A 16,627-nucleotide genomic window follows, 5' to 3' on the forward strand; every position below is an offset into this window, starting at 1 on the left:
TGGAGAGAAGAGAGGATCTTTTTTAAAGGTTGCAGTCTAAGATCTGTTAAAAGGCTAGCATTCGTGGTATGCAGCAACTCCTGTTCTAAAACTTTACACATGGCTGCATGAGGTAGGCCTGTTTTTTCTTTGAAAAGTCAGGCGGGACTGATTGAAAGTTTAGTGTTAACTAAAGTGAAGAAATTTTATCAGTTGCTTGGTCACAGCTGGGGAGCCTAATTTATAATGTTACAGTTCTTTCTTCCACAATACTCAGTAGCAAAAGAGTAGGACATGATGTATCATGTAATAGGGGTTGGCCTATGACACTGTTGTGTGGGCATATTTTGTTAGGTGAGATGTTTCAGTCCGTAAGAGGATGTGTACAGTCTATTAGTTGGCACTTCTACCCTCAGGTACGTTGTGAAAATCACGTGAGTGAATTTGGCTTGGTGTGTTCCAGAGGACATGAGAAATCTATTTTGTTGAGAATTACAAATTATATTCGCACTAAGAGATGTCACTACTACTTCCCAAATGAAAAATTATCTTTATAATTTCAGTATGTATATGTCACTTTAAATACGTGAAAGTCTATATACAAGAGACAGCTTGAGTAGTTGTAGAGTCTTCATTTTAAGAAATATATAATGAGTTCTTAATTTTTATGTTTCTAAGAAGGCTTAATATTTGATTAACATTCACATTTCAAAAATCTCAGTAGTATCATAAAAAAACTACACAGAAACAATACATTCACTGAACACTTTTCATTGAGTAGCAGTTTAAATCAGTGTTTCTTAAATTTAACTGTATTTTATAGTCACCTAGGAAACTTTAAAAATTCAAATTCTGGCCGGGTGCGGTGGCTCACACCTGTAATCCCAACACTTTGGGAGGCCGAGGTGGGCAGATCACGAGGTCAGGAGATCGAGACCATCCTGGCTAACACGGTGAAACCCTGTCTCTACTAAAAATACAAAAAAATTAGCCGGGTGTGGTGGCAGGCGCCTGTAGTCCCATCTATTCGGGAGGCTGAGGCAGGAGAATGGCATGAACCCAGGAGGCAGAGCTTGCAGTGAGCCGAGTTCACGCCACTGCATTCCAGCCTGGGCGACAGAGTGAGACTGCATCTCAAAAAAAAAAAAAAAAAAAAAAATTGCCTAGGTTGAAAACCATAAGGTCAAAAGCTTGCTTGATAATAGGACTGAATTGATACTAATGGTGTGATTTTTAAACTGACTAATATTAAGGATATTGTGTTTCCAGTACATGCTACAGAGGACTCAAGATCAAGATGAAAATGTGGCTTTAGAAGCCTGTGAATTTTGGCTAACTTTAGCTGAACAGCCAATATGCAAAGATGTACTCGTAAGGCATCTTCCTAAGTAAGTGTTCCCTCTTATAAATGCTGCCTTGTTCTTTAATTTCTTAAGTGATTCTTCATTTTCATATTTTTATAAAATTCATTCTTTTGCCATCAGGGAGTGAGATTCTAAAGAAGCCAGACTTAATTTTATTGTTGGTAAAGAGATTTTTCAAAAAGCAATTGCCTATTTTAAAAAAAATTATGTGAGTATGGTTTGTTCTAAATTATAATTGATTTCGGATAATTTACAGCACAGTATTTTTGTGGGGTTTTTTTGTTTTTTGTTTTGTTTTGTTTTTAAAAAACAATCCTTGTTATTTAACCACAGACTCTATTGTGAAGTTTTGTTTTTTTTCCAAAAAATAATTTCCCACTAGTTGTGATGCAACAGAATTTAGTTAACTTAATGTTAAGCCCATTTTTCTAAAAGTAAAGTAATATAAGCTCGTGGGAAAAAACTAAATTGCAGAAAATTTTATATTTTCCGCATTTTCACCACCCTGAGTAATCACTGGTAGTATTTTTTATGTCATCTTTTAATGTTCTTTTCTGTGAAAGTACCGTATACTAAATAGCATGTATTCAGGGGGTTTGAGAAGGAATTTGATTTAATAATATATAATACATTAACATGACATCTTGCCTATAGTTAGTGCTTAAAATTTTAAATATACTATTTAATGGTTTGTTCTTTTCAGTTATTGTATGCTGTGTGCTTTCCTCCATGTCATTAGTCTTTAAAACTTCAGTGGAGGTATGCTATTCCATCATGGTATACATAACCATATTTACATAAATGACGATTATATATGTGTACGCTATAGAGAGAGAGAGAGAGACTGTTCTCTGCCATTGAATATTTAGGTTGTTTTGGCTTTTTTTCCCCTCATAAATAATCCTGGAGTGAATATCTTTCTTTGTCAATAAAAGGTTGTTTCTTTTTGTTATAATTACTAGGAGTGATTTTTTTCCTCAAAGTATATGAGCATTTTAATGTTTTTTCACAATATTCCAAATAGTTCTCTAGGAAATTTATAGAACCGTATACCCCACTGTGTGTCTATTCTGTCACAACTTTGCCAGCCATGAATTTTAATTTCTCAAATCTTAGCCATCTGGATAAGCAAAAAAAAAAAAAGTTTTTAATATGTCTTCATAGTAAAGGGTTTTTTTTTTTCCCCAGATGTTTATGGTACTTGAATGTTCCTATTTTCATATGGTCAACTGAGTTTTTTCTTTCCATCAAGAAAGCAACGATTCCAGTCAGTGTATTTGGACGGTAAGGTTAAGCAAGGTGCGTCGTATCTTGCTTAACCTTGCCCTCGAAATACACTGACTGGATTTTTTTCTCTTTAGGAAATCTATTAATTGTTCTTCCTTTTCTCTTTACTTTGTAATGCCACTTTAATGATACGTTTGAGTTTCTGTGGGGTCATATAATTTTAAATGTCATAGATACTAATTTTTATAAAAACTGCAGAGATTTTCTTTTTTTCTTCAAGAGCAGAAATCCGCTTTTATTTATTGACTTTTCGTTAGTTTAAATCCTTGAGGGGTACAGCATCACTCAGATTTTGTGTCCAATGGTCTCAGCAGGAAGATTGCTTTGAAATTTGGCACGAACCATGCCACTGTTTCCATGGGCCCAGATTACTCTGGCTTTGTTTAGTTTGCCGCCAGGAGTCTCTGTGTTGTTCTTTGTTTTATGTACATAAGCACATCTCTTGCCCAAAGAGAATTCTGTTTCACCTCATGCGTCAACATCTTCAATTTTAACAAGAGCTGTGTGTTTCCTTTGGTTCTGGAGACCCTGCTTTTAGCCAGCAGAAAAGGCCTTGGGCCACAGCCTTCCAGACATACTTCCTTTTAGAAGTCCTATTCCCAGCAGGCTGCAGTTATTTGCCCCCAAATTTCAGCAGCAGCTGCTTCACTCCAGAGATTTTATTAATGAAAACCTAGGCTATAACATAAACCTATGCTATAACAAACCTATGCTAATGAAAACCTAGGCTATAACATTAGAGATGATGTTAAAAATATGGAATTATAACTAGGTACTCTAACTCTATTACTGCACTAATATAATCCAAATATTCGTAAACCAAGCAGGAAATTAAAAGATTAGCACCACCCATTTTGCTGTGCTAATTAGTGCCAACATTAAACAACTCAAGCCAGTCATGACTGAGTTTTACTTATGTCTTCCCTACTACTGTGAGAGGCGGTCTCACTGTATTGCCCAAGCTGGTCTTGATCCTCTTGCCTCAAGCAATTCATACTGCTTGGCCTCCCAAAACTTTGGGATTACAGCCATGGGCCACGGTACCCAGTGGGAGCCACTTTTATATATAAAACGCAGCTGTTTTTATTGTTTTAGATAATGTATTGACAGGATAGCAGAATATCAACATCAATCTGATGCTGAGATTAAAAAGCACAGTGAAATAACTTGTTTTTCCTATTTATTAACCACACTTGCCTAGTATAATACGAGCAAAAAGTGTTTGCATAGGAATTAAAATTGTGTGTGTTACAAGATCACTCATAAATATAAACTCATTTAGAAAGCACCATTGTAGGCTGGGCACAGTGACTCATGCCTGTAACCTCAGCACTTTGGGAGCCTGAGGCAGGCAGATCGCTTGAGCTCAGGAGTTCAAGACCAGCCTGGACAACATGGTGAAACCCGTCTCTACCAAAAATACAAAAATTAGCTGGGCGTGGCAGCACATGCCTGTAATTCCAGCTACTTGTGTGGCTGAGGCAGGAGAGTCACTTGAACCCAGGAGGCAGAGACTGCAGTGAGCTATGAGCCGAAATGGCACCACTGCACTCCAGCCTAGGCAACAGAGTGAGACCCTTTCTCAGAAAAAAAAAGCACCAGTGTAACAAGGAGGATATTAAGTTCTATTATCATTCTGGGCTATATAGTCTCCCTTTTTTTATTTTTTTAACTAGTACTATTTTTATTATTGAACATTAATGTATTTTGTGATCTGGTATAGCAGCTCTTGATTTCTCTCGTTTTTACAAAATTGTTTTGGCTTTTTCCCACCTTTATTCTTGTACATTAATGTCTTATAGGGCTGTTGTGTGGATTTTCCATGTGAAACAACCCAATGCTCAGCCCATATTTAAGTATTCAGTAAACGTTTATTGTCTATGTTATTACTTTATGTGATGTTGCATTAAAAAACTCATTTTTGACTGGGTGCAGTGGCTTATGCCTGTAATCCCAGCACTTTGGGAGTCCAAGGCGGGTGTATCACCTGAGGTCTAGAGTTCAAGACCAGCTTGGCCAACATGGTGAAACCCCATCTCTACTAAAAATATAAAAAATTAGCCAGGCATGGTGGCGTATGCTTGTAGTCCCAGCTACTTGGGTGGCTGAGGCAGGAGAATAGCTTGAACCCGGGAAGTGGAGATTGCAGTGAGCCAAGATCGTGCCATTGCACTCCAGCCTGGGTGACAAGAGCAAGACTCCATCTCAAAAAAAAAAAAAAAAAACCTCATTTTTAATGGCTACATGGGGGCTTCAGGAGAAATCTTCACAATTAGACCTGCTCAAAAATAAGAGTTTGCCTAGCATGATTAGACTTGGGCAGGCACATGCCAAATTGCCACATGGTCACGGTTAATTTCCATGTCTTATTTTCTGACCTCATTTTTTCTTATTTGCCCAGCTTTACCAGCCAGTCCTTTATTTCTTGCAAACCTTACTAGGCCCATCTGCCACCCCATTCCAAGGCCCTTGACCTCTTTGTGTTCTAATCTGATTCTTTTTTTTATTATTATTATTTTGAGATGGAGTCGCACTCTGTTTCCCAGGCTGGAGTGCAGTGGCGCGATCTCAGCTCACTACAAGCTCCACCACCCGGGTTCAAGTGATTCTCCTGCCTCAGCCTCCTGAGTAGCTGGGACTACAGGCGTGTGCCACCACGTCCAGCTAATTTTTGTATTTTTAGTAGAGACTGGATTTCACTATGTTGGCCGGGCTGGTCTCGAACTCCTGACCTCGTGATCCGCTCGCCTCGACCTAATCTGATTCTTTTTATTCTCTGTTTATCTGACAAACATCAGAGCCACGAATAAACCATACTAACCCAAAACTTCTATCTACCCTGCTCTAGACTAATTGAACTCTGAAGTCTTTTCTTTAACCAGGTTGTTGAATGCCTTTGGGGAAATTTACACTCCCCTAGGGGGATTGTTGGCTATAGAAATCTGTGGTCTTCAACCGCAAGTGGTCTCTTCACAATCTGCTAATTCATGTTCCAGATCAGCTTTTATCTTTTATTCACCAAGAGCAACTGTTTGAAACCTTTATTACTCTTTTGATATTCTCTTAATTCACTTTGAGCACTTAGGCTCGTAAAGAAAGCAGGTGACCCTTTATCTTGCCCCAAAACTTACAGATAGTAATTTCATATGAGCTGTTCTCTCCTAACCAATTTTCTCCTTAAGGTCTGTATAGTATAAATTTTTCTTATACCCAGAGACCCTCACCGTACCAGATAAATATTCACTCTTAGCTTCTCCTTGTTGCCTCATTTTCCATAACTTTATAACTTGCTGCAGTTTTTTGTCTTCAAAAAACAAAAAAACTCAAACTTTTTTTGAGTGGGACTTACTGTCTTCACTTCTTTAACCCACATCTTGTTAACTCTTCATTATCTTAACATTCTGATGTCTGTCCTCACCATTTCCTTGAAATTGTTGATAAAGATCATCAGTGATTAACTGTTAGTGATCCAGATACACCTGGTTCTCCTGCAAAATACCTGTATCTTACAAAATATAGCTCTATGTATTGTAAGTCTTACCTAGTTAAATTATGCTAGCTCTAATGTTTAATTACTACTAATCTTTCTATTTTAGAATTTAGAAGGACTTTGAGCATGAAAGTTTGGCTGGCCCACATTTCTTAAACCTATCCAGGGGATTTTATATTTGACTGCTTCCTTTTCTCTATTAGCGTTTCTTCAGTTAATGAGAGCAGACATATATCACTGAATAAGTTCAAAGACAATATTACCATTGATTATCTCATTGGTTTTATTAGTACATGTAAGGTTAAGACTTATTAATTATTCTCTTGAGATCTTAAGGTCTTTGTTTCATGAATTTCTTTCTTTATAGGTTGATTCCTGTGTTAGTGAATGGCATGAAGTACTCAGACATAGATATTATCCTACTTAAGGTAAGGAAGCTTTTTTGATGAATAGGGAACAAGATTTTTATATTGACTTAGTACATCTTTGGATTTGGCCAATAAAACATTCATTGAGAATAGATCTCCTGTAAATAGACTTCCTATTATCCATAATAGGATAGAAGCATAAGTTTAAGTAATGATAAATTCTTGCTTAATTTGGTACTAGATGGTGACATTGGTAGGGTTATTATTAATTTCCCCTTAATTACTTGGAGTTATTTTAAAAACATTCTTATATATGCTGCTCTGAATTTGATTCAGGTAACTTAGATTATACCAGCCAGTGGAGGCCATGTAGTTGGCTGAAAGGGCCGTATAACCTAACAGGTGTGTTAGGTCAGTCTATTCGCCCCTCCATAAGGAATATGTTCTGTACATGGGCGTGGTTCTTAATCACTCTGGAAGTATATTTCAGAATTCTGTGCATGACCCCATCTCTGGATATTCTGTTTCTCTTACTCATGTACATACTATTAGCCTATAATGAATGCCACCAAAAATTTCTCTTAAAAAAACAACAGGGTGATGTTGAAGAAGACGAAACGATTCCTGATAGTGAACAGGATATACGGCCACGTTTTCACCGATCGAGGACGGTGGCTCAGCAGCATGATGAAGATGGAATTGAAGAGGAAGATGATGATGATGATGAAATTGATGATGATGATACAATTTCTGACTGGAATCTAAGTAAGTCAGAAAGGGAAAAGCACAGTTGCCTACTTTGATGATAACTTTATTGGGGTATAATTCATCTACTGTACAGTTTACTACCCATTAAAGTATACATTTCATTGGTTTTTAGTATATTCAGAGAGCTGTTCAACCATTACCACAATCAGTTGTAGACTATGTTTTCATCACCCATACCCTTTAGCAGTAACTCCCTATTGTTCACTGGCTCTGGGCAACTACTAGTCAATATTCTGTCTCTGGGTTTGCCTATTCTAGACATTTCATGTAAATGGAGTCATACAATGCATTGTCCTTTGTGACCATCTTCTTTAACTTAGCATAAAGTTTTCACGGTTCATTTTGTAGCATTCACTTGTATTGTGAAATAATATTTCATTGTAATATGCCACATATTCTCCATTCATTGGTTGGTGGACATTTGTGTTTCTCTTTTTGTAGCTGTTGAGTTGTGATGCTATAAATACTCATGTATAATTTTTGTGTGTAGACTTTTTTTGTTTGTTTGTTTGTTTTTTTGTTTTGAGGCAGGGTCTCTGTCACCCAGGCTAGCATGATTATGCAGTGGCGCAGTCATGGCCCACCGCAGCCTTGACCTCCCTGGGCTCTGGTGATCCTCCCACCTCAGCTCCCCAAGTAGCTGGGACTACAGGTGCTCACCAATACACCTGGATGAATTTTTGTTTTTTTTTTTTTGGTAGAGACAGTTTTGCCATGTTGCCCAGGCTGGTCTTGAACTGTTGGGCTCAAGCGATCCACCCGCCTTGCCCTCCCAAAGTGCTAGGATTACAGGCGTAAGCCACTGTGTCTGGCCCAATGTGTATTCAGTTCTCTTGGGTAAACACTCAGGAGAAGGATTGTTGGGGTCATATGGTAACTGTATGTTTAACCTTTTGAGAAATAACCAGGATGTTTTCCAAAGTGACTGCACCATTCTGCTTTCCTAGCAGCATTGTCTGGAGGGTTCCAGTTTCTTCACATGCTCACTTGCTTTATTATCTCTTTATTATTATAGTCATTCTAGTGGACGTGAAGTGGTATTTTGTGGTTTTGGTTTGCATTTTCCTGGTGGACCTGCTCTTATTTTATCATTATTATATTCTTAAACTACCATTTCTCAAAAGGCTGTTTGTTTTAATACTGTAAGAACATTGCCACAAGCTTTTTTGGTTTTTCTAACATGAGTGTTTTCTGTCTGGTAATTTGCATGAAAATTGGCTATCATAGGTAATTCTAAAATAATATAAGTTGCTTTATTATATTCAAATTTATTATAAGTTGCTTTGTTATAGTCAAAATTTATGAAATATGCTTCTTAAAATATGTTAATTTCCAACCTTAGCTGCAAATCATATCACCTGTGGAGCTAGCATTCTGGCCCACGCTTCCTAATTGGGGATGAACCTAAACACCTGTGTTCTGATTTTGCTTGCTTGTTTGCTGGATTTTAAACCTCTACTGCTCTAGTTCAGGGTTTCTCAGCCTTGGCACTATTGGCATTTTGGGCCACATAATTCTTTTTTTTTTTCTACATGTGAATGCCACATCATGCATGTAATTCTTTGTTGCGGAGGCTGTCCTGCACGTTGTGGGATGTTAAGCAGCATCCCTGGCCTCTACCCAAAGATGCCAGCAGCACAAACACAGTTGTGACAACCGTTATCTCCTGGGGGAACAAAATCAACCCCAGTTTAGAGCCACTACTCTAGTTCAAAGTGTTGGGATTTCTAATAACTATGATTAAAGCAGTTAAGAACAGACATTATCAGTCTGGGCTGTGTTCTTCATTTGGTTAGATAATGCTAATTTCTCTGTTGCCTCTTCAGTTTCCTGTAACTAACATTCTATTTAGAGTGCCTAATGTGCCAGGCACTAGGCCAAGGACTTTGCATGCATATCAAAGTCTGTTTAATCATAAGTAAGAATAAAGTCATATTTAACATTTCCAACAACCTTGAATAGGCAAGAAAACTGCAGAAAGAGAGATATACCCAAGGTTAGCATAGCTAGTACTGATAGCACATCTAGTACTGGGACCCAAGTCTCACTTGTTAAGACAACACATGGTGTTTACTACTATTACAAATTACTTCCCAGTGTATCCCTACTTTCAGATTAGGGGAGCAGGATGGCTCAAGATCATTACACAGAAAACTCTACAAAATAATATACATACATGGATGGGGGAACACTTCCTCTTCACATCCCATTCTTTGTATCCTTCCAAAAGCTTTTCTGTGCGTGCTTGGGAAAACATACAGGCATCTTTTTTAGAGGAGAAGCCAGTTTTCTAAAAGTGAAATCAGATTATATGTACTCTGCTGCTTTCTTTCTGTGTATCGTATGCCTCATTCTTCCTCAGTACATACAGATTTAGATTTCCTTTTGTTGCATGTCAGTGTACTGTTTAGTTGTATGGCTCTACCATGTGGTATAACTAAGATCCTTATTGATGGGTAAGGTGTTAATTTCTGGCCAATGTAATGGTTTTGTTTTGGTTTGGTTTGGTTTTTTTTTTTTTTTTTGAGGATTTTATTATTGTCTAGTAGTTTGTGATTAGCCATTTACTATGCCTAGTTCACGTTGGAAATTTCTGATATTTTCTTAGTCCATTTTGTACTACTATAACAGGATACCTGAAGTTCAGAATGGAGGGGCTGCATCTGGTGAGAACCTCCTTGCAACATCATCTGATGACAGAAGGACACACTTAAGAGCTCAATTCACGCTTATAATAAGCCAACTCTCTTGATAACTAACCCACTCCTACAGTAACGACATTAACCCATTTATGAGGGCAGAACCCTTAAGACCTAATCATCTCTTGATAGGCCCCACCTCCCATCTTCGTTGCTTTAGGGATTAGGTTTCTAATACATGAACTTCAGGAACACGTTCCTACCCATAACAGTTAAATGATATTTTTGTTGTTCTTTTTGATTTTGTTGCTCTTGTCTAAATTATTATTATAATAAAATCTGGGTTGATTTATAGTCCCATAGTTAATTCTTTGTAAAGAGTATTTTCTAGCATGCGTTATGTTTCATGTGCCAGTGACTTTTCTTCCAGTTTTTGTGTCTAAAGTCCAGCTAAGTAATTGTCTGTTTAATTCTAGATGATATACTGCTGGAAATGTTAAGTAGAGTTAATAATGTATGTTTTTTGCGTGATTGTAACAGTGATTGTAATCATGATTGTAATATGAGTGTATCATATTGAATGGTTATGTTAGAAGCACTGAATTGAGTGGCACAGTATTTGTTTTACTGTATAGACAGAATTCTAGTATGACAGTTATGTACAGAATACAATGTGTTCACAATTAATTTGCCAAGTAAGTTCTTGTCATAAAAAATATTCATCTTAATAGAAAATGTTTTTGGCTGGGCATGGTGGCTCACACCTGTAATCCCAGCACTTTGGGAGGCTGAGGAGGGTGGATCACGAGGTCAGGAGTTTGAGACCATCCTGGCCAACATGGTGAAACCCCGTCTCTCCTAAAAATCAGCTGTGCGTACTGGCACACACCTGTAATCCCAGCTACTCAGGGGGCTAAAGCGGGAGAATCACTTGAACCTGGGAGGCAGAGGTTGCAGTGAGCCAAGATCGCACCACTGCACTCCAGCCTGAGCGACAGAACAAGACTCCATCTCAAAAAAAAAAAAAAAAAAAAAAACCACAAAATGTTTTCACGTGACAAACTACCTCCTATTCAATTGAATTCTTATTTTAAAACTCCGTATTAGAGATACGAATAAAATGTTACATATACAATAAATAATATATAAGTAATAAGAGGTTAATGTAATATTTTTGAATTAAATATTTCCTTAGGAAAATGTTCTGCTGCTGCCCTGGATGTTCTTGCAAATGTGTATCGTGATGAACTGCTGCCACATATTTTGCCCCTTTTGAAAGAATTACTTTTTCATCATGAATGGGTTGTTAAAGAATCAGGCATTTTGGTTTTAGGAGCAATTGCTGAAGGTAAGCCTAAGTCCAGTTTGAATTATGTAAGTTGGCTTCTTACTACTATTAGGTACTAATAAGGCTAGGCTACTTTAAGGAATTTCTATTTTGAACCAGATAACTAGTATTAAACAGCCATAGGCCGTCTTCTAACCCCAGCTAGATATTTTGCAAAATGTTTTTGTTATAATAAAGGTAACAGAGGCCAGGCATGGTGGCTCACGCCTATAATCTCAGCACTTTGGGAGGCTTAGGCGGGTGGATTACCTGAGATGGTTTCAAGACCAGCCTGGTTAACATGGCGAAACCACGTCTGCTAAAAATACAAAAATTAGCTGGGCGTGGTGGCATGTGCCTGTAGTCCCAGCTACTTGGAAGGCTGAGGCAGGAGAATTGCTTGGACCTGGGAAGTGGTAGTTGCAGTGAGCTGAATTCGTGCGATTGCACTCCAGCCTGGGTGACAGAGCAAGACTCCATCTCAATAAAAAATAAAAACAAAAAAATTAAGGGAACAGAATGAAAGGCTCTGATGTCTGAAGCATCCCCATTGCTTTAAAAAAAAATCCTTGATTCTTTAGGTAAGTATAGGAAACACAATAAGGCAAGACTCTCTTCATTCTCTATGAAGGGTTATTATTGATTTTGTCCTGGCAGTAAACATCTATTAGAAGAAATTGAAACACTGTAAGATGCTTGGGAGCAGGTAGCTCTAACTTCAGGGTTTTAAAAATAATTTTGGTATAGGTTATTGTAGTATGTGTATAGCAGTAGAAATATTCTGAATTTTTTCATAGATACGTGTTTTATTTTCATAATCAACCAAAATAATGTTAACTAAATTTTAGCATTTTGAAAGATTTATTTTTTTTCTAGGTTGCATGCAGGGCATGATTCCATACTTGCCTGAGCTTATTCCTCACCTTATTCAGTGCCTCTCTGATAAAAAGGCTCTTGTGCGTTCCATAACATGCTGGACTCTTAGCCGCTATGCACACTGGGTGGTCAGCCAGCCGCCAGACACGTACCTGAAGCCATTAATGACAGAATTGCTAAAGCGCATCCTGGACAGCAACAAGAGAGTACAAGAAGCTGCCTGCAGGTGGGACAGATTCATAACACAGTGTTCTTTGTGGCAGTGAAAAACTTAATTTTCAACCTTCTGATGGAGTGTTGGTGTTAAACCTATAATGAAGTGTTTCGTAATTGAAAATTTTCCAGTTATATCAGAAAGCTTAGTTTTCTTTTTTCTTCTTGGTGAAGTGTTTTGCAGGATCTGTAGCTTTTGGGTTTGCATATTAGCGTATTTTATACATTTTGTTTGGCCAGGAGAATTTTGTCATGTGGGTTTTACCTGATGATTTTGTAGATCTAAATGTGACAACATCGATCTTAGCTGTTTCTTCTTTGGCTCATTTTTCCCACTCAGTGGTTATTATAACAGAACTATCTTACACCCTAATTCCCTCAGACATCTGAACTAGTGATGGCAGGACTCCTACTCTTGAAGGAATAACAACGTTTGAGCAGATTGACATCCTTAGACTACAGGTCAACCACCATAACTCAGAAAGTCCCACAGGGACCTGTGGTCTGTCACTTACCAGTTAAAGGTCTTTGAGTGCTTAGTAGTTCTGCTCTAGTAGCCATTCTATTGGTTGGTTTGGTGGCTGTCTCTTTATATCAAGCCAGCAGTTGCTTTTATTACTACAAATATTCCAGTTTCCTGCAATATACCTTTATATTTTAAAAGGGCCTTCTGCTTATGTTTATAGTTCTTAATTTTTCGAGTAGGTTTGCTTTTACCATTGACCTTGATAGTAGGAAAAAATAACTGTTGAACAAAAAAAAGGAAAATTTTATTTTATTTTTTTTAGATGGAGTCTTGCTCTGTCGCCCAGGCTGGAGTGCAGTGGTGTGATCTTGGCTTACTGTAACCTCCGCCTCTCGGGTTCAAGCAATTCTCCTGCCTCTGCCTCCTGAGTAGCTGGGACTACAGGTGTGCGACACCATGCCCAGCTAATTTTTGTATTTTTAGTAGAGATGGGGTTTTGTCATGTTGGCCAGGCTGGTCTTGAACTCCTGACCTCAAGTGATCCACCCATCTTGGCCTCCCAAAGTGCTGGGATTGCAGGCGTGAGCCACCGCGCCTGGCAGGGATAGTAAATTTGAGTTTGACCTTAATCCATCTGAAGCAGTCATATCTGGAAGATATTAAGGGAGGGAGGATATAGATTATGTTTGAGATCCTATAATTTATTCATTCAGTACCTCGGTTTTTTTTTTTAGCTATTAATTGTTAAGCATATACTAAATGCTGAGTTTACATAAAGTCCCTGCCATCTTGAGACTTACAGGTTAGTAGGAAATACAAAGCAGCAACATAATTATCATTTATGGCAAGTGCTATGGAAGAAATCGGTAAATAATTCACAGTGCTGATGACCAGGGCTTTCATTAACAGATGGCTTAGACCATTTTAGGAAATTCCTGATTGGGTAAAACAGAACATAAACATTTTAGCAATTAAGAGTTAGATATATCTTACAGTCAATAAGTATTCTTTTTTTTTTTTTTTAAACAGTGCCTTTGCTACCCTAGAAGAGGAGGCTTGTACAGAACTTGTTCCTTACCTTGCTTATATACTTGATACCCTGGTCTTTGCATTTAGTAAATACCAGCATAAGAACCTGCTCATTCTTTACGATGCCATAGGAACATTAGCAGATTCAGTAGGACATCATTTAAACAAACCAGTAAGTATCTGTTAAGAACTATTAGGGAAAATAATGTGTAGCATAGTTACAATTAATAGATTAGCATATATTTGGAAATTAAGATGTTTTGGGAGATGTGAATAGTTAGCGTTAGCTACTTTAAGAGTATAGATCTTACAAAGGCAGCAAGTATATCCCCTTTCATGTGGTATTCTTAAAGTAAATACATACTTGGTGTGGAAACTACAGCAGCATTTCACATGAATGCTCTGATACTTTTTAGAATGACTAAAGCAAAGGGATAAAAAAGTTTTTATAATCTGGATATCTGCTTTTACTTAATTCCTAATGTTTTTGAATCTACCACTTCATAAACACTGTAGCTTTAGAGTACCATATCTAGACATCTTTGTTTTTTCAGCAGGTACGGGGAGTATACTGTATAAAACAAATAGAAATTGGGGTAGTAGGTTTAAAAATGCTAAATAGTAATGCAAAAGTGCCTTGTTTCCAGTAGTGTTAGTAGAAGAGGAGGATGGATTTGTCTAATGAGGATTTAAGTGATAGTAGAATTTTAATATAGCTCCACATACCCTGCTGAATAGACTTCTATATGATTGCTATATCCAAAGTCTTAAGAAATTGTTTTATTTTTAAGTTACACTTAAGATTTGGTACAGGGCAGTTTATAGGTTTGCTTTGCTGTTGGTTGTTTGGTTTGGCTTTTGTGGGGGTTTGTTTTCTGAATGTCTTTAGAGTCTGTGCCCCTGTTTACATGATCACTATGTTTAGTCGTTTTATGGATCATTCTTTAGTTTGACACTTAAATGATTTTAAGTTTGTTTTTCTACAAAAGCATCTGTGTAAGTTTACCTGTTGATTTAAAAATGTACTATATAGTAACAGCCATATTACACGTTACAGTTCCATGACTAAAAGGAATTTTTTTGTGTGTGACAAGGTCTCACTCTGTCACCTAGGCTAGAGTGCAGTGGTGTGATCACAGCTCATTGCAACCTCCACCTCCCGGGCTCAAGCGATCCTCCCATTTCAGCCTCCCCTGTAGCTGAGACCACAGGCGTGTACCACCATTCCTGGCCAACTTTTTGTAGAGATAGTTTTGCCATGTTGCCCAGGCTGGCCCAAACTCCTGGGTTCAAGTGATCTGCCTGCCTCAGCCTCTCAAAGTGCTGGAATTACAGGTGTGAGCCACCATGCCCAGCCCCAGAACTAAAAATATTCTGTAACTTAAAGAGAAAAACTTAGGTCTGGGCACAGTGGCTCACACCTGTAATCCCAGCACTTTGGGAGGCTGAGGTGGGCAGATCAAAAGGTCAGGAGATCGACACCATCCTGGCTAACACGGTGAAACCCTGTCTCTTTAAAACTACAAAAAATTAGCCGGGTGTGGTGGGGGGTGCCTGTAGTCCCAGCTACTCGGGAGGCTGAGGCAGGAGAATGGCGTGGACCTGGGAGGCGGAGCTTGCAGTGAGCTGAGATCACGCCGCTGCACTCTAGCCTGGACGACAGAGCAAGACTCCGTCTCAAAAAAAAGAGAAAAACTTAGATCTTCCTTGATTGTGACTTTTTTAAGTAATAGATTTTGATTAGCTGTGTGTTTATTGATAGACTCTTTTTTTCAACAAGGATAAAAGATCAGTAGATCACTAGTTCTAGATCTAAAACTAGAACACGGTCATGTAAGTATAAAGGTAGGCAACAGAAAGGAAAACTTTAAAAGGGACTGTGCAGAGTGAAGAATGACTCTTAAAATGCCTTTTGTAATGATTTTACACAATTGCTCAAAATGGATTTTAATTTTCAAAGACTCAAAATGGTCTTGTTGACATGTGATAGTGGAATTTTATATGTTTTTCATCATTGTAAATAGGAATATATTCAGATGCTAATGCCTCCACTGATCCAGAAATGGAACATGTTAAAGGATGAAGATAAAGATCTCTTCCCTTTACTTGAGGTATGCAGGGCTAGTAATATTTAATCTGTTGCCAAGAACACATGTTCAAATCCAAAATGGGTATATATGATAAGAAAAGTGTTAATAAATTTATATTCTGAAGTAGACGGAGGAAATTATATGATACATACTGTTCTCTAACCTGCTTTACTTAATTGATAATAAATTAGAGTTTTAAGTTCTCTTATGTTATCTACTCTCTATATAGAGTAGATAGCATACTACTCTATATAGTATAGAGTAGATAACATACTGGGAGGATATATATACCGGGATATATATATATATCTTTTCACTCATACATATATGTTGAGTAGTGGGATTTGGTGCCAGTAAGGAGGTACTTATTTTCAAATTTGAAAATGTTTCCATGTGTACTTAACTACTTTTTTTTTTAACACCCCTTTCATTGCAAACTTTTATATGATGTTCTCGTAACTGAACACACTGTGAAATGTAGTCACTTAAACTTAGTTGAATTGACATTGATAGAACCAGTTCAGGCCTTTTCATTCTTGCTCCCTGTTATTTCAAGGTTCACCATCTTCTACCGTGGATTGTTCTTAGCCAAAGAAGTTAAATTTTCTATGACCAAGAGCAATTCTGGGCCCAGCAAAACAAGAAGAATCATTATGGTTCATTTTTTGTATGCAGTCGTCCCTCAGTATCTGCAGGGGATTGTTTCCAGGACTCCCCTTGGATACAGAAAT

The 16,627-nt window shown here is 37.7% G+C and overlaps 1 protein-coding gene, 1 non-coding gene and 1 pseudogene across 10 annotated transcripts in view; 2 read left to right on the top strand and 1 right to left on the bottom strand.

Moving 5' to 3' along the window:
- Positions 1-16,627, top strand: part of TNPO1 (transportin 1) — a 97,728-nt gene that overhangs the window by 59,319 nt on the left and 21,782 nt on the right. For all 9 annotated transcript variants that reach the window (NM_001364292.3, NM_002270.4, XM_005248501.3 and 6 more), the window contains 7 exons: positions 1,249-1,367; positions 6,488-6,548; positions 7,085-7,253; positions 11,091-11,243; positions 12,099-12,324; positions 13,807-13,978; positions 15,831-15,917. In NM_001364292.3, coding sequence (NP_001351221.1) covers positions 1,249-1,367; positions 6,488-6,548; positions 7,085-7,253; positions 11,091-11,243; positions 12,099-12,324; positions 13,807-13,978; positions 15,831-15,917 — 987 coding nt within the window. The remainder of the gene's footprint in view (positions 1-1,248; positions 1,368-6,487; positions 6,549-7,084; positions 7,254-11,090; positions 11,244-12,098; positions 12,325-13,806; positions 13,979-15,830; positions 15,918-16,627) is intronic.
- Positions 2,612-2,684, top strand: MIR4804 (microRNA 4804). Its single transcript, NR_039968.1, has one exon. It is a non-coding gene; the product is annotated as a microRNA 4804 (primary transcript).
- Positions 2,845-3,281, bottom strand: RPL35AP13 (ribosomal protein L35a pseudogene 13; annotated as a pseudogene).

Source organism: Homo sapiens, chromosome 5 (assembly GCF_000001405.40).
Source record: "Homo sapiens chromosome 5, GRCh38.p14 Primary Assembly".
In the NCBI taxonomy this organism is placed as follows: Eukaryota; Metazoa; Chordata; class Mammalia; order Primates; family Hominidae; genus Homo; species Homo sapiens.